The sequence below is a fragment of the Homo sapiens genome, chromosome 11 (assembly GCF_000001405.40).
Source record: "Homo sapiens chromosome 11, GRCh38.p14 Primary Assembly".
NCBI classification, from domain to species: Eukaryota; Metazoa; Chordata; class Mammalia; order Primates; family Hominidae; genus Homo; species Homo sapiens.
Window position 1 is genome coordinate 57,782,132 of NC_000011.10, and position 19,513 is coordinate 57,801,644.

Below are 19,513 nucleotides of genomic sequence, written 5' to 3' on the forward strand. Positions count from 1 at the left end.
TGTATAGAGGTTGCCAGCTCAAATTCCTTTTAACAAGGAGTATTATCTTGTTTATATCTTTGTTTTTTAAAAAATTCTTTTCTCTGACGTTCCAATCAGAGAGAATGTATCACTCTTTCCTAAGAGGAGGGTGGTCTGCCCAGAGCCTTCCTTAATTCATCAGAGAGATTCCTGGTGGACACCTAGTTTTTCCTCATGAAAATAAGACTTCTTTGGTCAGCCTTTTACCCTCTTTTAAAATAAAATCCTTAACTAAATTAAATTTAACAGTGTTTAATTGAACAAAGAACAGTTCACTAATTGGGGAGCCTTCTGAGCCACAGTAGGCTCAGAGACTCCAGTGCAGACGTGGTAGAAGATTTATGGACAGAAAAAGGAAAGTGATGAACAAAAAATGGAAGTGAGGTACAGAAACAGCTGGATTGGTTATGGCTCAGCTGGAACAGTTGGCCCCCTTTGAGTGGCCAAAACTCAGTGATTGGCACAAGAGTAGGTTACAGTCTATTTCTACCACCATTTAGGTTATAGTTCATTATGTACAGATAAATCTTTAGGCCAAACTTAAAAGATGTAAGGAGGCATAAACTTGCCTAGGCTAAACTTGATTTAACACTTCTAAATGGAGAAGTTGGGCCTAGCAGGAAGCAGATCCATGAGGAAGCATAGAAAGAGTGAACACTAGGAGAAGGCCATATCCAGAATAATACAGGTTTTGTGACTTGAGTAGTGCTCAGTTGAGATTGTGAAGTGAGCACAGTCCTTTTAATCTTAACGCAAATCAGCTTCAGGGACTTGGAATTAACAGAAGATGAGTCTTCCCAGTGAAGTGAGAAATACTAGAACTGTTCTGACTGAGCATGAAGGTGGAACATGGTTGGGCATGGTGGCTCACGCCTGTAATCCCAGCACTTTGGGAGGCCAAGGCTGGTGGGTCACTTGAGGTCGGGAGTTCAAGACCAGCCTGGCCAACGTGGTGAAACCGTGTCTCTACTAAAAATACAAAAATTAGCCAGGCATAGTGGCACATGCCTATAGTCCCAGCTACTTGGGAGGCTGAAGCAGGAGAATTGCTTGAACCTGGGAGGTGGAGGTTGCAGTGAGCCGAGATGACGGCATTGCATCTGGGCGACAGAGCAAGACTCCATCTCAAAAACAAACAAACAAACAAAAAAAAACGTGGAACATCAAGTGGAGGTAGGGCGGGGTACTTAGACTTTGGACTCTGGTATAAGCACTGATAAGAAGCCATAGAAAGGCCGGGCTCACGCCTGTAATCCCAGCACTTTGGAAGGCCGCGGCGGGTGGATCACGAGGTCAGGAGATCGAGACCATCCTGGCTAACACGGTGAAACCCCGTCTCTACTAAAAATACAAAAAATTAGCCGGGCGTGTTGGCGGGCGCCTGTGGTCCCAGCTACTGGGGAGGCTGAGGCAGGAGAATGCTGTGAACCCGGGAGGCGGAGCTTGCAGTGAGCCGAGATCGCGCCACTGCACTCCATCCTGGGTGACAGAGCGAGACTCCATCTCAAAATAAAAAAAAAGCCATAGAAAATCTTGACAAAATATATTTCTTTGATTTAGAAACAAAATGGCAAGTTTGTTTGTGGTTGAACCGGAATATTTCTTCAAATTTGGGGTCAGGTGCCAGTTAAGGCAAATAAATGCCTTTTAGGTATCTGAAGGGCCCCTTTCTGGCTTGAATGTTATGTAATACAGTTCTGTAGTGTTACAGGTGCTATATTTTGTTGATTAGTATTCTGCAGTAGGAGGCTTGGTATGCTATTTATTTATTTATTTACGTATTTATTTTTGAGACAGGGTCTTACTCTGTCGCCCAGGTGGCAATGTAGTGATTGTGGCTCACTGTGGTCTGGACCTCCTAGACTCAAGCAATTCTCCCACCTCAGCCTCCTGAGTAGCTGGGACTACAGTGTGCACCACCATGCCCAGTTAATTTTTGTAATTTTTTTGTAGAGGTGGGGTTTTGCCATGTTGCCCAGGCTGATCTTTAAACTCCTGGGCTCAAGTGATCTGCCCACCTTGGCCTCCCAAAGTGCTGGGATTACAGGTGTGAGCCACTTTGCCCAGCCCAGTGTGCTTTTGAAAAAAGCCCTTTGCATTCCCTAGAATGGCTGGGCACAGTGGCTCATGCCAGTAATCCCTGCACTTTGGGAGGCCAAGGCAAGAGGATTGCTTGAGCCCACGAGGTCCATGCTGTAGTGAGCTGTGATCACACCACTGCACTCTAGCCAGGGCGACAAGAGCTAGATCCTGTCTCAAAAAAAAAAAAAAAAAATTCCCTAGAACGACATGGAAATGGAGTTTTGCCTGTCATTGTTTTTAGATGGAGAGCATAAATTTGTGACACTCGTTTTGTTGTTGTTGTTTTTGAGACAGAGTCTTACTCTGTCATCCAGGCTGGAGTGCAGTGGCACAATCTCGGCACACTGAAACTTTTGTCTCTTGAGTTCAAGTGATTCTCCTGCCTCAGCCTCCTGAATAGCTGGGATTACAGGTGTGTGCCAACATGCCCGGCTAATTTTTTTGTATTTTAAGTAGAGATGGGGTTTCACCATGTTGACCAGGCTGGTTTCGAACTCCTGAACTCAAGTGATCCTCCCATCTCAGCCTCCTAAAGTGCTGTGATTACAGGCATGAGCCGTGGTGCCCGGCCATGACATTGGTTTTGATTTTATAATGAATAAATAGGAAGAAAGGAGGAGAGCTGCCTTTGAGACTGGCTCTGAAGACAAAATTATTTTTGCAAAAACCCAAAGATTGGTGAACTTCAGAGTTCACATAGGCTATGGTTTTATATATATTAGCTCATTAAAACTAAACCATGAAGAGTAATAGAAATGGAAGCTTACAGGGGTTATAACTTTTCCAAGGTCTCCTAGCTAGTTTTTGGAGGAGCCAAGACTTGGACCCCCAGTCTTTTGACCCCTAATCTGGAGTTTTATTTTGTTTTTCCCTCTAAAAGTGAATAATTCCTGTAGTTTTCAGGTCTGCTGCAAATGAAAGAGGGGAGCCTGGGGAGGCTGGTTTACAAACTTCAAAAACTCCACCAACCACACCCAAGCTCTAGTCCCTGTAGTAGTAACAATATTACTGGCTTTCTGTGCGTCAAGACATTTTTCTAAGCACTTTACATGAAATGCCTCATTTAATCTTCACAACCACCCTGTGTATTTTTATTCCTCCATTTTACAAAAAAGGAAGCTGCAGTTTCGAGTGGTTGATACTTTGCCCAAAGTCATATAGCTAATAAGGATAGATCTTATACTTAAACCCAGGCAGATAACAAAGCCTATACACTTAACCTCTTAAGAATCATAATTCCAAATTGTATTTCTTTAGTCAGTTTACAGTAGAAGAAATCATTCCAGGGACTGTGCTATTGGTAGGTGATTTTTTTGTGTGTGTGTGTGTGTGGGGTACTGAGTCTAGCTCTGTCACCCATGCTGGAGTGCAGCGGCATGATCTCGGCTCACTGCAACCTCCGCCTCCCGGGTTCAAGTGATTCTCCTGCCTCAGCCTCCTGAGTAGCTGGGATTACAGGTGTGCACCACCAAGCCTGGCTAATTTTTTATTTTTAGTAGAGACGGGGTTTCACCATGTTGGTCAGGCCGGTCTCAAACCCCTGACCTTGTGATCCGCTCACCTCGGCCTCCCAAAGTGCTGGGATTACAGGCTTGAGCCACCACGCCCGGCCGGTAAGTGATTTTTTTGTTTTTTGGACCTCCTATCTGGTTAGCACTGTCTAGTTGTTTGGTCCTTCTGGGTATTTGATTTAATTTAACTTCTTTTGGTTGGGAGTTCTTACAGACGAGACTGAGTTTTTATCATTATCATTGCTTGGATGAAGGATCTTTACTATGGACTATGGACTCTGGGTAATAGCAGGAATATCTTTCTAGTGTGGGTGGGATCCAGTAATGTAGGACTTAATGGCTTATTGAGAGTAAAACTAGGTATTCTCAGAAAATCTAGTCTTAAGGGGGAATAACAAGTTTCACTTTATGTTTCCTCAACCCCCTGACTTCAGGAATTCTTTGATTTTTTTTTTTTTTTTTTGGTGAGAGGAAATGTAGTCTATTTAAAAATCTAAGTAAGTGGAGGCCGGCTGCCGTGGCTCACGCCTGTAATCCCAGCACTATGGGAGGCTGAGGCAGGCGGATCATGAGGTCAGGAGATCGAGACCATCCTGGCTGACACGGTGAAACCCCGTCTCCACTAAAAATACAAAAAATTAGCCCGGTGTGGTGTCATGCACCTGTAATCCCAGCTATTCGGGAGGCTGAGGCAGGAGAATCGCCTGAACCCAGGAGGTGGAGGTTGCAGTGAGCTGAGATTGCACCACAGCACTCCAGCCTGGGCCACTAAGCGAGACTCCATCTCAAAAAAATAAATAAATAAAAAATGTAAGTGGCAAAGCTGGAAAGGCATTGGGCTGGACTTGTAATTACGACTCCTGACTGTCTGCCAAAGTCAGCTGAAGGTTTGTAGTGTGATCTTTTTGATGCATATGGCATGAGAAGAATCTTTTTTCCTTAAGTCTCCAAGCGATGAGACCATTTACTGTAGCCTGCCTAACAGCTTCATTCTTTCCCCACTCATACATTCCTTTTCCTCCCATTTTTTTTCTGTTTTCTCACTTCTATGTAGATATTATGGGTAACTCTTGAGCCTAAAAAAACAAAGTAGAACCCTTTTCTTTCCCTGTTTTCCTGTGATAGTTGAGAAGAAAGCTCTCAAAGGTTGTAGAGGAGAGGCTCTGGACCATCCATCTGGTACTGACTGCACTTCTATTTGGACTTGACACCATGGCATAGAAAGAGAACACAGGCTTTGGAATGGCATAGACCTGGGTTTAAATTCAAAATTTGCTATTAACTGTGAGACCTTGGGTAGTTTCTTCACCCATGAGTCTTATTTGCAATAAAACTTCCTTAGGGTTGTTGTAAGGATTGCCAAGATAGTAAATGTAAAACATTCAGTAATCATTAGTTTCACATTCCCTTTCTCCAAGGTAATAAATTGTTAAGGCCTCAAATACAGAATCAAGAACTTATTATGACAGATGTGTAATGATGTGATGACTTCCAGGCACTAGAGAAGTGTCCTTTGTCCCAGAAACACTGGTATAGGTGGGACGTTCTAGTAAATAGATTAGGAGTAGGGAAACCAGCCCATTCACTCCTTAGAACCTAGTTATGTTTTTGATCCAGTTGATTTCATCTACTAGTTCACAAAATAGTTTGAGGCTGAGACATTACGGTGAAGTAATGTAATTGGAAGTGTTAAACCAACTTTTGAAACAACTTAATACCTGACATTTGTATATAACATACATTGTCTCACCTAATCCTCACAACAACTCTGAGTTAGACCGGGCTAATTTCCTAACTCCTGGGAAGCAGCAATTTTTTTTCTTTTTCCCCAATTTGGTTCCTGGAAACGGGGCAAATGGATTTGGCATCTTACAAGTGAGAATATGACAGGGTTTACTGCCATTGTTGGGTAGTAGTAGAGCCAGAACTGGGACCAGTCTTCTTGAGTTGTGTTCTATCCCATATGGCCTCTGCTTCTGTCCTTTTTCAGGCAGAATATCTCCCCATGCTTTTAGACCTAGGAATCTGATCTTTTTGTGTAATTGTGCTGTCTTCTTTTCCAAATTAGAGCCAGGTGGTCAGCTTTAAAGCTGTGAAGATGGTGGAAGCTAATGTTTCTCCAGATACTGCTTTCTGACCTAGAGCCCTGAGTATTTTTCCTATCTCCCTTCCTAACCTTCTTCACTGAATTTAAGTTGCAGGGCCATTTATGGCCATCTATACACTTTCTCTTTGCAGCAGGGAATGTCACTGTATCCCCCGTGGTAGCAGTAATTTGGGCTTTTATTAGCAAAGAAGATTATAGGGTGGATGCTGCTGGAGTGGTAATTGCACTTCAGACCCTGTTGAAATTCAGTAACTGGAAGAATCTCTTTTTGAGCTCAGAGTCCTCTTGGTGTGGAAGGTTCATAGGTCATTGTACATAGTGGATAAGGGCAAGTACTTAAGAAATGGAGATGAAAGGGGAGCACCTTTTTTTTTAAAATAAGGGTGCTTATTCAAGAAAGACCTTTGAGTGGCCTGTTGGAATGTAGGGTGGGAATATGAGAAAGTGGCAATGGGTTTTGGACTGAAAGGAAGAAGAGTTGATAGGCGATTATGGGAACTTCGAGCTGGGGTAGGAGGAATTTAGGGAAGGGCAACCACGTTCTTTAAACTTAGGGACTGGATTGATTCAGGAGTTTATTGGACACTTACTTATCAGTTCCTTTGGGTACTCTTGCTTGCTGACTTCTGCATACACTCTAAGCCAAACAGGCCCGGGCATTTGTGCTTGGTGGGGCTCTGGGGAGCGTGGGAAAGGGAACTGAAGCAAAAGGCTCAGCCTAGGCTAGTCCCCACATGTCTTCCCCACACAACTTTTGCATTGGTTTCTCAATGTCTTTGTGGGCATGCTGGGACTGGGCTTTGAGGTTTCTGCCTTAGGGGTGGGAAGGGAGGGGGAAGGGCATTCCAACAGCAGTTTTTTTCTTTTTCCCCAATTTGGTTGCTGGAAACAGGGTAAATGGATTTTTATACATATTATAACCTGTTCCTGGTTATATATGGAAATACAAATAGAGGAGCTCTCACTTGACAGTAGAATCCAGGTTTTAATGAAAATGACATCCAAGGCCTAGGTATCTGAACACAACAAGGTCTAAAGGGCACTTGTCACATTAAGCAATTCCAAGTCATATTTTAAATTACTTCCTTTCATTCCTAATATTGCCCCTTGCTCTTCTTGTTTTTATGTATTGGGTATATTTTATTTTCCTCTCATTCCCATTTTTCCTTCAAATATTTCTGCAGCTCTCTCCTTCCTGCTTCCTCCTTGCTGTGGTGGCTGGGATGCTTCTTCCATGATTTTTTGAATCTAGACTGGGCTGTTCTCTGTGTTAAACCAATCAGTTGCGACCTTCTCTTAACAGGTGTGTATGGAAATATGTTTATTAAGAAGGAAAAATCTTACTTTTTAAGAAATATGTATTTTTATTCCTTTCATGTCATAGCAGAAAAAAATCTTTTTAAATACCTTTTTTCTTTATGGGTTGGTGAGAGGGTGGGAATTGGGGAGAATATTTATTTCAAAACCTGTCTTTCAACATTGTATATTTTGGACTGGCATAAAGTCTTTCATAGCTATAAGAGAGAAAAAAACCCATTGAGTCCAACAGAGTATCACTAATGCCTGTAAAACCTCCTGTTTATATAATGGTATGGAGAACTCTTCATTTTTATATAACTATCTTTTATTGTATAGATAGCACACATAGACCCTCTAGATACTTGGATATTTATCCTGAGTTGGAACAAATAAAAGGGTAAAAAGATAGTCTATTTAAAACAAGAGTGTCCAATCTTTTGGCTTCCCTGGGCTACAGTGGAAGAAGAATTGTGTTGGGCCATACATAATGTACGCTAAGGATAGCCAATGAGCTAAAAAAGAATTGCAAAAAAAAAAATCTCATAATGTTTCAAGAAAGTTTACAAATTTGTGTTGGGCCGCATTCAAAGCTGTCCTGGGCTGCATGCGTCCCGCGGGCCAAGGGTTGGACAAGCTTGAGTTAGAGGTTTCTGCAGGATTACAGAGATGTGGGAACTTCCAGCCATTGACGTGTGGAGGTTAGGATATGAACTACTGTGAGGTGCACTTTCAGAGGTTGAGGCTAATACTCCTTTTCCTACTTCCCAAGGAGGTGAAGTTTCCTGAAGACAGTGCTTTTTTACATGTAGAGTTTTTTGTGGTTCTGTTACTCTGTTGTCTCCATTAGTCAAGGAACACGTTTTGCCATCAATATAATATTTAACAAACTATAGTAGTATAGTTTGGAAAGTAGAAACGCCCTTTTATGAATGTATTATTATATTTTTGGAGGCAGAGTCTCACTCTGTTGTCCAGCCTGGAGTGCAGCGGTGCCATCTCGGCTCACTACACTCTCCGTCTCCTGGGTTCACGCAATTCTCATGCCTCGGCTGGGATTACAGGTGCCTACCACCATGCCTGGCTAATTTTTGTATTTTTAGTAGAGATAAGGTTTCCCCATGTTGGCCAGGCTGGTCTTGACCAACTGAACCTGACCTCAAGTGATCCACCCACCTCGGCCTCGTAAAGTGCTGGGATTACAGGTGTGAGCCACCTACTTTCATTTCTTTCTTTCTTTTTTTTTTTTTTTTGAGACGGAGTCTTGCATTGTCGCCCCAGCTGGAGTGCAATGGCGCGATCTTGGCTCACTGCAACCTCCGCTATTCTCCTGCCTCAGCCTCCCGAGTTGCTGGGATTATAGGAGTACGCCACCACACCCGGCTAATTTTGTCTGTGTGTGTGTTTTTTTTTTTTTTTTTTTTTTTGAGACGGAGTCTTGCACTGTCGCCTAGGCTGGAGTGCAATAGTGCGATCTTGGCTCACTGTAAGCTCCACCTCCGGCGTTCACGCCATTCTCCTGTCTCAGCCTCCCGAGTAGCTGGAATTACAGGCTCCCGCCACCACGCCCGGCCTTTTTTTGTATTTTTTTAGTAGAGACAGGGTTTCACTATGTTGGCCAGACTGGTCTCGAACTTCTGACCTCGTGATCCGCCTGCTTCGGCCTCCCAAAGTGCTGGGATTACAGGTGTAAGCCACAGTGCCCGGCCTTTTCATTTCTTAATTGGCATTTAGTTTAGCATAGTAATTTTTTTTTTTTAATTTGCTGCCACTTCAGCAGTTTTAGTGTTTAGATGTGGGAGAGGTTAAGTAAGATCTGTATTGCCCTATTATCTCTAAAAGTGGCTTGTCCCTGCAGGATAGTGAATGCTTGTCTGTACCATTGGAGTTACACATTTCATTGAGTTGATACCAGCAGATTTTTTTCAGGGAAAAATAATCCAATCTCATAACTACAGCACCTCACCACATTCTCCCTCTCCTAACAGTGTAGAGACTTAGATTTAATTGCACCTTTCCTTTCAATAGTTATTTCTGGTGGGATGTTGAAGAAAGCTAGTGGGCAAAGGATTCCGCTTGAACAGACACTGGTGATGGGCTCCCAGGCTTGGCGGTGGCTTGCTTTCTGCACTGCAGTAAAACCACGAGAGGGCATCTTTGGCTCTGGGATTAATAATTCATCTGTCTTCTCTGACCTGTGACCTTTTCTCTCCTTTCTCTTACCCTTTCCCGGTAGTGTGAAGTGAGGGGGTCTCTCTCCCTCCTTCTCCTTCCTCTGTGATTCACCTTCCTTTTTACCCTGCCCTGCGGCGGCTCCGCCCCTTACCTTCATGGACGACTCAGAGGTGGAGTCGACCGCCAGCATCTTGGCCTCTGTGAAGGAACAAGAGGCCCAGTTTGAGAAGCTGACCCGGGCGCTGGAGGAGGAACGGCGCCACGTCTCGGCGCAGCTGGAACGCGTCCGGGTCTCACCACAAGATGCCAACCCACTCATGGCCAACGGCACACTCACCCGCCGGCATCAGGTAACCCCTCTCTCCATCAGACGTGCAGGTAGGACTTTGGCATGGTCACAGAGAGGCTATGATCCTTTTTGGGAAGCTACTCTCCTTTTGGTGATGGGCTGTCCAGTGCCCGTTCTTCCAGGGATTTTTTTCCAGGGGTGTTAAATGCTGATAAGAGACAAGGAATATTGCTGCTGGACTGAGCTGGGTGCAGTTACTATCTCTAGAAGCATCCATCTGACTTCCTGTTTTGCTGGAGTAGGTTTTTTGGGGTGGGCTACAATTCTAGTAATGGTAGATAGTTTAGTTTGCAGCTGTACTCAAGTTACTTTTCTTTTCTGATTTTTTTTTCTTGGTATCAAAAAATCAGGAAAGTAAATGCCCACTTAATGGTTGGGCATCTTGTGCTCTCAGCCCTAGTTCAGTCTCCCTGAGGGAACAGTCTGTACCCAGGTGTGGCAGTATCCATAAATTGTGTACTCCTGCTCCATATTGTCCTTGTGTGCTCTTTTTGTTGGCTGTGTAAATCATGTGTTGGAGGAAGGGGTCATTGTTAATTCTGTTGGTTAGAGTTGGAGAGGGAGCATCATGCTGCTGTTTAACCCAAATAACCACAGGAGCCAGTGGTCTCTGGGTTGGCTGACTCTGTGATGTGACTTGGGAGAGTTGGTGTTAGAAATGAGAAGTATCTTGTGTTTCCTCTGGTTTTTCTAGTCTGACTTTGCTGTGATGTAATCTGTCTGAGGTTTTGTCTGTCTTCCTCTGTGTGTGTGTGCGTGTGTGCGCGCGCACTCGCGCATGTGTGTGTGTGGTAGACATTGCCTGATAGATTGCATCTTACGAGAGATCTCTGAGTGGGAACCAGAACAGTACTCATGCCCTGATAGTCCTTTTCATTGAGTAATTTTTATTTATTTATTTAAATAGGAGTGCAGTGGTGCAATCTTGGCTCACTGCAACGTTCGCCTCCCGGGTTCAAGCAATTCTCCTGCCTCAGCCTCCTGAGTAGCTGGGACTACAGGCGTGTGCCACCACACCCAGCCAATTTTTGTAGTTTTAGTAGAAATGGGGTTTCACCATGTTGGCCAGGATGGTCTCGATCTCTTGACCTCGTGATCCACCTGCCTCGGCCTCCCAAAGTACTGGGATTACGCGTGAGCTACTGCACCCGGCTGAGTGATTTTTTTTTTTTTTTTTTTAAGATAGAGAAAGTCCCTCATACTGAGGAGCCTTGCAGTTGAGAGAGAACAGAATTCCAGTTGGAGGATCAAGGAATTTGAGGGAGGCAGCATGCTTGCAGTGTTCCTAGGATTTTTACAGGAACTACAATAGAAAGTTAGGGATGAAATTATATTGAAAGGAGAAAGCTGGACTGCTCAGGTTTGGAGGTCATGGGGAATTCCAGGATTCAGTATGTGGTTGCTCTCTTATTTTTAACTTCTGCTTAGCAGTAAAACCACACCCTTCCTTCTTCCTGAAAGTAATGTTTAACTTCCTCTCCCTGCAGCATTACACTCTATGTAATGGGAGTGGGGTGGAGGAAGAGTCTCCCAAGGTGGTTGGATCTCACTATTCTACTGGAAGAGGAGCAGGCAAATATATTTTTATGTGGTATAATGTCATTAGATTATTTCCTGCTGCTTAAGACAGAGCAACTTCTGGATGACATTTTGGAATGTATTCTGTGGCTCTAATAATTGTTGGTAAAGATATTGAGCCTTCTGTTTTCTTGAGGGGAGTTGGGGTGCTTGTTTTTGTACTTGGAAAGGGAGACTCGTATCTCTTGCTTTTTTCTTTAATTAAATTTCTGTTTTTTACATTAGGACATGATAGCCATCTTGCTTCTTTCTTTAAAAAGCTGCCTGGAATGGGAGTTTCCAGTGGTAGTACTGCATGAAGATTCATGAGACTATAAAGCTCTTTGGAAACCCCCCAACTTAGCCCTTCCAACTTTCCTTACATTTTTATGGCTTTCCAAAAAGGTTGCATGTAAGGGAAATTATCTAGGTCTGTGCTGTTTATTCAGCAAATAGTTTTTGAGCACCTGTTATGTGCCAGGCACTGTTCAAGGCACTAGACTAAACTAAACTTATCCCAAAAAACCCTCTGCCCTCGTGGAGTTTACGTTCTTATGTTCCAGAGACCCTGTCTGCCAGAGTTCCAGGCCTGATTTTCAATTTTGAGGAAAGTGCTAAGACTAAAGAGTGAATGGTTCTTTTATGAGTACTGACACAAGGACTCCAGGCCACACATATCTTCTTGAAAGCCCTTTTCCTGTTTGAAAAAAAGATCGTTTGTATTTGATAGAGCAAAAGAAGGCCACAAAATGAATTGTCTTCTTGTGGGCTGTGTTTCAGAACGGCCGGTTTGTGGGCGATGCTGACCTTGAAAGACAGAAATTTTCAGATTTGAAACTCAACGGACCCCAGGTAATTCTTTGGCTCAAGACCTGGGTTGCTTCATTCATATTTTCTTATTTCCCCAGCCTATAAGAGCATATTTGTGTCTTGTAAGGTGCCTGGCACATTGTACATACTCGTCAATTAGTTTCTTTTATTTACGAAAACAAAGAAGTGGAGCTCCAAAGTATATATGCAGTTTTGTTTTGGAATGAATTTTAATGACCATTGATCTTTATGACTATTCCTCCTCCCCACTGCCACCCCATTTGATCCCTAAGTACTGCGTTTCTTTTCTAGAGACAGTAGGCTTCTACTTTGCAGCAAAAAACCCTACCTAAAATCTGGCTGGTCTTGAGCCTTTTAGACGGTATCTGAAGAGTAACATAAAGCCAGTCAAAAGATGGCTCTTACTGGGATTTTCAGGTTTGTCTTAAAAGTTCTTTATTTTTGGCCAGGCATGGTGGCTCATGCCTGTAATCCCAGCACTTTGGGAGGCTGAGGTGGGCAGATCACCTCAGGTCGGGAGTTGGAGACCAGCCTGACCAACATGGAGAAACCCCGTCTCTACTGAAAATACAAAATTAGTCAGGCGTGGTGGCACATGCCTGTAATCCCAGCTACTCGGGAGGCTGAGGCAGGAGAATTGCTTGAAACCAGGTGGCGGAGATTGTGGTGAGCTGAGATCATGCCATTGTACTCCAGCCTGGGCAACAAGAGCAAAACTCTGTCTCAAAAAAAAAAAAAAAGTTCTTTATTTTAGACTGGGCACGGTGTCTCATGCCTGTAATCCAACACTTTGGGAGGCCAAGGCAGAGCAAAACTCCGTCTCAAAAAAAAAAAAAAAACAAAGTTCTTTATTTTGGCCAGGCGTGGTTTGCTCATTCCTGTAATTCCAGCACTTTGGGAGGCTGAGGCTGGAGGATTGCTTGAGCCCAGGAGTTCAAGACCAGCCTGGGCAACATAGACCCTGTCTCTACAAAAAAAATAAAATTAGCCAGGCATGGTGGCGTGAGCCTGTAGTTCTAGCTACTCAGGAGGCTGAAATGGCAAGATTGCTTGAGCCTGGGAGGTTGGGGCTCCAGTGAGCTATGATCATGCCACTGCACTCTAGCTTGGGTGATAGAGTGAGACCCTATCTCAAGTAAATAAATACAAGTTATTTATTTATTGGGTGAGCTGCTCTTTTGAGGGATCACTCAGATATAGATGAAACTGCATTTAACACAGTTCATGTTCACTTAGATGACCACAGCTGGGAAGTTAAATCTACTGTCTGTCACTTGGATGTTGATGTGGCTATAGTTAGTTCATGTTTGTTAAATGACTACAACTGGGAAATTATGTCTACTGTCCTTTTGTACAAGTTCAAAAGATGACAGCCACCCATCTAAAAATCCTGAGGCCTATAGAAGATGCATGAGGAGTCCCTGTCTCCAGGTTTACCACTTATGCTTCTTATTAGGATGGCTTGTTATACATAGCACTTAATAGTAGTTTCTTCTCTTTTCTCTTTTGCATATAGGATCACAGTCACCTTCTATATAGCACCATCCCCAGGATGCAGGAGCCGGGGCAGATTGTGGAGACCTACACGGAGGAGGATCCTGAGGGAGCCATGTCTGTAGTCTCTGTGGAGACCTCAGATGATGGGACCACTCGGCGCACAGAGACCACGGTAAACTAAGACGTGTGTAAGATCTGGAAGTGATAAGAGGTCTTTTCTTCTCTATTAGGGGAGGGGTTAAGCACTTAATTAAGATGGAGGACTGATATGCCATTATTGATCTGATTGCATGAAGTGATCTCTGGCCAGATAGAAAGGATGAAGAGATGGGAAAATCTTATGGGATAGGGAAGACAGAAGGTATATCAGGGTCTATAGTAGCTTCCCTTATAAGCATAGTTACTGTCAGGGCAATTTTCCTGCTTGGGGACTTCCTATAGGATGGAAAGAAAGATAGATGGTAGGCTTTAAGGCATTCCTAGGTAAAGTGACCTAGGGATATAAAGATTTGTTTCTTTTGGAGTGGTATAGAATTTAATTGTTCATGGCTGGGCGCGGTGGGTCACGCTTGTAATCCCAGCCCTGTGGGAGGCTGAGGTGGGCGGATCACGAGGTCAGGAGTTTGAGACCAGTCTGGGCAACATAGTGAAACCCCGTCTCTACTAAAAATACAAAAAATTAGCCAGGTGTGGTGGTGTGTGCCTGTAATACCAGCTACTCGGGAGGCTGAGGCAGGAGAATTGCGTGAACCTGGGAGGCAGAGGTTGCAGGTGAGCCGAGATCACGCCATTGCACTCCAGCCAGGGCAACAGTGCAAGACTCCATCTCAAAAAAAAAAAAAGAATTTAATTGCTCACTTCCTTAATTAGTTTTTCTTTTTCTTGTTTCCTACTTGCAGGTCAAGAAAGTAGTGAAGACTGTGACAACACGGACAGTACAGCCAGTCGCTATGGGACCAGACGGGTTGCCTGTGGATGCTTCATCAGTTTCTAACAACTATATCCAGACTTTGGGTCGTGATTTCCGCAAGAATGGCAATGGGGGACCTGGTCCCTATGTGGGGCAAGCTGGCACTGCTACCCTTCCTAGGAACTTCCACTACCCTCCTGATGGTTATAGTCGCCACTATGAAGATGGTTATCCAGGTGGCAGTGATAACTATGGCAGTCTGTCCCGGGTGACCCGCATTGAGGAGCGGTATAGGCCCAGCATGGAAGGCTACCGGGCACCTAGTAGACAGGATGTGTATGGGCCCCAACCCCAGGTTCGGGTAGGTGGGAGCAGCGTGGATCTGCATCGCTTTCATCCAGAGCCTTATGGGCTAGAGGATGACCAGCGTAGTATGGGCTATGATGACCTGGATTATGGTATGATGTCTGATTATGGCACTGCCCGTCGGACTGGGACACCCTCTGACCCTCGTCGGCGCCTCAGGTAGGCAAGAATAGGGGAAGAGAAAAGGGTCTTTCCAAGACCAGGGACAAGGGGTAGCTTTTCCTTCAACTTCTAGGGGCTTTTTGGGATCAGAGATACTCGTGGCCTCCTCCCCTCTGCTTTTTTTTGGGGTGAAAAGCTACCCTGTTTTTCCCTTTTCTGACTTGGCTTAGTATTGACTTGCTATATATATATAATATAAATATATATATAATTTTTTAAATGAAAATAATATAATTTTATTTTTTATTTTTTTGAGACAGAGTCTTGCTCTTTCACCCATGCTGGAGTACAGGGGTGCCATCTTGGCTCACTGCCACCTCCGCCTCCTGGGTTCAAGTGATTCTCATGCCTCAGCCTCCCTAGTAGTTGGGACTACAGGCAAGCACCATCACGCCTGGCTAATTTTTATATTTTTAGTAGAGATGGGGTTTCACCATGTTGGCCAGGCTGGTCTCAAACTCCCGACCTCTGGTGATCCACCCGCCTTGGCCTCCAAAAGTGCTGGGATTACAGGCGTGAGCCACCGCGCCTGGTCCACAAGTTGTTTTCTATAATTGAATATATGGGCCAGGCGCGGTGGCTCACGCCTGTAATCCCAGCGCTTTTGGAGACTGAGGTGGGTGGATCACCTGAGGTCCGGAGTTCAAGACCAGCCTGACCAACATGGAGAAACCCCGCCTCTACTAAAAATACAAAATTAGCTGGGCGTAGTGGTGCATGCCTGTAATCTCAGCTACTCGGGAGGCTGAGGCAGGAGAATCATATGAACCCGGGAGGCAGAGGTTGTGGTGAGCCAAGATCATGCCATTGCACTCCAGCCTGGGCAACAAGAGCGAAACTCCACCTCAAAAAAAAAAAAAAAAAAAAACAACTTGTGATTGTTATTAGTCTGTGTCCTGAAGAATGAACTTTGCTTCTGCTTCTATGCTGAAGTTTTTGCTGTTTCTGGCTAAGATGTGACCCCCTTTTGGTGTGTTAGGCAGAGGATTCTGATGTCTGGGGCCATGGAATTCTTGCTCACTTCTTCCTGGGAATTTCTTTAGTTTCTGATTTGGTATTAAGAACAGAGTCCATTGGGCACGGTGTCTCACGCTTGTAATCCCAGCACTTTGGGAGGCCGAGTTGGGCGGATCACGAGGTCAGGAGATCGAGATCATCCTGGCTAACACGGTGAAACCCTGTCTCTACTAAAAATACAAAAATTAGCCGGGTGTTGTGGCTCGTGCCTGTAGTCTCAGCTACTCAGGAGGCTGAGGCAGGAGAATCACTTGAACCCGGGTGGCAGAGGCTGTAGTGAGCCGAGATCCCGCCACTGCACTCCAGCCTGGGTGACATAGTGAGACTGTCTCAAAAAAAAAAAAAAAAAAGCCAAAAAAACCCCAAAACAAAACATAGTTGAGGGTTTTAGGAATTCAGAACCAAAAGAGACAGTTGAGGACGTGTATAAGAACTTTCTTGTGTTTTTAATCCCAAAGTTAAAAACAAACTTTGACCTCACAAGGGCCTTGACATTCTATGCTTAGGGTCTTATTATTTGATTGTAAAGTGAAATTGTGGTGGCATCCTTGGGTGGGGGTCGGGGGATACATTAGCAACACTCTGAAAGGTCACTAAGCAGCTGCCTACTCTGACTTTACTACTTGTTCCTGGAGATTCTTTGGTGATGTGAAAAAAGGAGTGATTGATGTTTGGACTGGTACATGGTTTGCCTTGTTGCATTGAGAGAATGCTTTAGAATGGGGTCGACAGACCCCTGAAAATGACCACGTAGAACTATTTTAGGCTTTGCAGGCCATGTATCATCTTTGTCGTATGTTGTTCTTTTTTTCAAACAATCTTTTAAAAATAGCATTATGGGGATGTACAAAAACAGGTTTGGCCCATGGGCTGCCAATGCTGCTTCAGAATAAATTAGAAACAGTGTTTTCCAGGTAAAGAGAAATGATAAGAAACAAGGGATGATTTATGGTTGTCTTGATGGTAAGGATATCCTAGCAGCTGTTGCTGAATTTCTCTATATGGGGTCATGACCTTTTAAAGCAAATGCCTTGGTGCTCATTTTCCTCATATATTAGGTAGCTTTGGTTAAGAGTGAACAGGGCTGGGCCCAGGGGTAGAGGCCCCATTATCTAAGACTGAGTCACTCACCTTTCAGGTGTCTTGGATAGCTAATCCAACTCCCATGTGACTCATTTTTATTCCTACAGGAGCACCAGACCTCGGCTGGTGCAACCTAGAGCAGTGGTAGATAACAGCCTTCATTGAAGCAGTCTGTCCAGGGTGTTGGCTCTACTGCAAGTCTGCTTTTTCTGACTTCCTCATTAGTAAAGAGTGATTGGACCCAGATGGGTGTGGGTGGCCAGGTCATTCTCTGCCATCCCTAGTTGTGCTAGTTCACATAGAGTTTTGGGCCTGGTTCTTGGGTTTGTTCCAGGGTAGCACTGGACTTGGAAACCTGCTTGACTAGCAAGCATATTTGCTGCTTCCTGTTCCAGGCTAGAAGAGTAATACAAGGTCAAACTTAAACAGTGAGGCAGTGATTAGTGGAAAAAGCACTGAACCCTGAGACCTTGGTTCTAGTTGTGCCTTTGCCACTAGCTAAGTAGCCTCAAGCAAGTCATTTGGTCTTCCCAGGCACAGCTTTGTTTCTTGTAAAACAAAGGAAAGAATGTCCAATCCACTGCCTTTGTATAGAAAAGGATATAGGATAGAGTTATCTGGAAATTTTGGTTATGGTAATTGTTCTTATAATTTTGTATATTAATAATAGAGGTTAAACATGTTCAATACAGAGCCTGAAAAACCCAGAAAAGCATTACCATCTATTGATAAAGAACCACTGTTAACATTTTGGTGCATATCCTTTGAGTTTTTTTAATTATACATGTAACTATATCCTATTTTCCCTCTACTAAAATGGAATCTTAACATACTGCTTAATAGCCTACTTTTAAGCTATCTAAGCTATTCATTTTGTTTCCGTGTTTTTTTTTTTTTTTTTTTTTTTTTTGAGATGGAGTCTTGCTCTGTCACCCAGGCTGGAGAGCAGTGGTGCGATCTGGTATTATACCCAGGAGGCTTTTTGTTCCATGCATGGTATTTTATAATGTTAGTAAATACTTTTCCTTAATTTTATAGTAAGCAGAAAATTTTTATGGTTGGGGTGGATGCAAAAGTGATACATAATAGTTTAGAAGACAACCAATTTTGTTTTACCAGCTGTTTGGGCATTTTTAGTACCCCCTTCTTGATTTGAAGGGTTTAATCTTGACCTTTTTTTTTTTTTCTTCGAAATAGAGTCTCGCTCTGTCACTTAGGCTGGAGTGCAGTGGCACAATCTCAGTTCACTGCAACCTCCACCTCTTGGGTTCAAGCGATTCTCTTGCCTCCGCCTCCCAAGTAGCTGGGATTACAGGTGCCCACCACCATGCCCAGCTAATTTTTGTATTTTTAGTAGAGATGGTGTTTTTCCATGTTGGCCATGCTGGTCTCGAACTTCTGACCTCAGGTAATCCGCCCACTGCAGCCTCCCAAAGTGCTGGGATTACAGATGTGAGCCACCATGCCTGGTCCTGTTTCCGTGTTATTTTAAGACCATCTTGGTCATGGTTTACTAAATGCTTTGTCCATCTGAATCACTGTTGCATAGTTGATGTTGATACCTGTGAGGCAGGCCTTCTGCTCAGGGCAACCTTGAGTATTTGTTGACAGTGGGAGTGGTTTTGTAGAACAAACAATGGCTTATTTGGAGAGCTCCACACAATAGATTATCCTCTCCTGTGGGAGCCAGAAAGAGATGAGCTCACAGATAATGGGTTTCTTCCTTCCTGGTAGTTACGAATAAATAATAGTGTGACAGACTCACCCTCTAGTGGTTGTTGGTAGTACTGAAACAGGAAGAATTGTCTCCTGGTTTGATTTTTCTTACTTTCAATTGCTTTCTCTGTTCCTAGTGGCTGGGCTTCCCAAATGTGATGTTGGTGAATAGGCTTCATTTTGAAAGAGCTGGAGGTATTGTCTTTAGAAATTGGAGGATGGAATCTTACCTCTTAACACATTTGTTGAGTAGCAGACATGACCTTGGAATGACTGTGAAAATTACTTTTCAAGTTTATACCTCATCAGTACCAAAGCCAGATCCTCCTGTGATGTAGCAGGAAGCCCTTTATTAGTTTTTCTCTATCAATCCATCTTTTATAATTTCCAAAATAGGATAAGGAGAAGCTTAAATATGAAATGTATTTAAAGGTCTTATCCTACCAGTTGTTTCCTGTGTGTAAATGCCTAATTTCCTGTTTGGTTAAGGAACTGTTCTCAGACTTCTGTGGCATTGAGTCAGTTGCTTTGGTTAATTCTGTTCTCTGAGAGTTTATCCTGATCTCTACCTAGACAAGTTAATAACTGTCAGATATCATTCAAATAAATGATAAGTAGTAAGGATTTGGTTCTTTCTTTTTGATTAGCCTTTCCTGAATGCTTGTTACTTTCTAAGCCTGCAGACTTCAAAGAAAAAAATGTAGTTTTAATTAAATTGCAGGTGTTTTTAAAATTATTACCTTTTATTTTTACTAACCCATTGAGGAAAATTGATCAGTATATTATTCATGCAAAGGAGAGATAAGATGAGCACACTGAAACTCCAGTTAATC

At 43.6% G+C, this 19,513-nt stretch overlaps 1 protein-coding gene and 1 long non-coding RNA gene across 23 annotated transcripts in view, besides 4 other annotated features; both read left to right on the plus strand.

The window, feature by feature from the left end:
* TMX2-CTNND1 (TMX2-CTNND1 readthrough (NMD candidate)) overlaps positions 1–19,513 on the plus strand; it is a 106,658-nt gene that overhangs the window by 69,609 nt on the left and 17,536 nt on the right. The window contains 5 exon segments of the long non-coding RNA NR_037646.1: positions 6,906–7,024; positions 9,254–9,542; positions 11,879–11,950; positions 13,446–13,598; positions 14,326–14,861. This is a non-coding gene — a long non-coding RNA (TMX2-CTNND1 readthrough (NMD candidate)).
* The window catches only part of CTNND1 (catenin delta 1), a 57,739-nt gene that overhangs the window by 20,330 nt on the left and 17,896 nt on the right, over positions 1–19,513 (plus strand). For 7 of the 22 annotated variants that reach the window (NM_001085467.2, NM_001206890.2, NM_001085463.2 and 4 more), the window contains exons 2-4: positions 11,879–11,950; positions 13,446–13,598; positions 14,326–14,861. In NM_001085467.2, the coding sequence (NP_001078936.1) occupies positions 13,482–13,598; positions 14,326–14,861 (653 nt within the window). In that variant the 5' untranslated portion in view covers positions 11,879–11,950; positions 13,446–13,481. Of the gene's footprint in view, positions 1–6,905; positions 7,025–9,253; positions 9,543–11,878; positions 11,951–13,445; positions 13,599–14,325; positions 14,862–19,513 lie in introns of all 22 variants that reach the window. The other 15 variants (NM_001085458.2, NM_001206885.2, NM_001085459.2 and 12 more) reach the window with 5 other exon arrangements.
* Positions 2,125–2,625: an enhancer, noted in NCBI's record as "H3K4me1 hESC enhancer chr11:57551728-57552228 (GRCh37/hg19 assembly coordinates)". NCBI's record gives its function as "activates a minimal SCP1, AML or CMV promoter by ChIP-STARR-seq in naive H9 embryonic stem cells {active_cell/tissue: H9 hESC(naive)}" and the evidence as "EXISTENCE:reporter gene assay evidence [ECO:0000049][PMID:30033119]".
* Positions 6,412–6,591: an enhancer, noted in NCBI's record as "active region_4732". NCBI's record gives its function as "activates an Ori minimal core promoter by ATAC-STARR-seq in GM12878 lymphoblastoid cells {active_cell/tissue: GM12878}" and the evidence as "EXISTENCE:reporter gene assay evidence [ECO:0000049][PMID:35858748]".
* Positions 10,146–10,440: an enhancer, noted in NCBI's record as "tiled region #6223; HepG2 Activating non-DNase unmatched - State 14:Gen5', and K562 Activating DNase unmatched - State 5:Enh". NCBI's record gives its function as "activates a minimal TATA promoter and a strong SV40 promoter by Sharpr-MPRA in HepG2 and K562 cells {active_cell/tissue: HepG2 | K562}" and the evidence as "EXISTENCE:reporter gene assay evidence [ECO:0000049][PMID:27701403]".
* Positions 18,382–18,621: an enhancer, noted in NCBI's record as "active region_4733". NCBI's record gives its function as "activates an Ori minimal core promoter by ATAC-STARR-seq in GM12878 lymphoblastoid cells {active_cell/tissue: GM12878}" and the evidence as "EXISTENCE:reporter gene assay evidence [ECO:0000049][PMID:35858748]".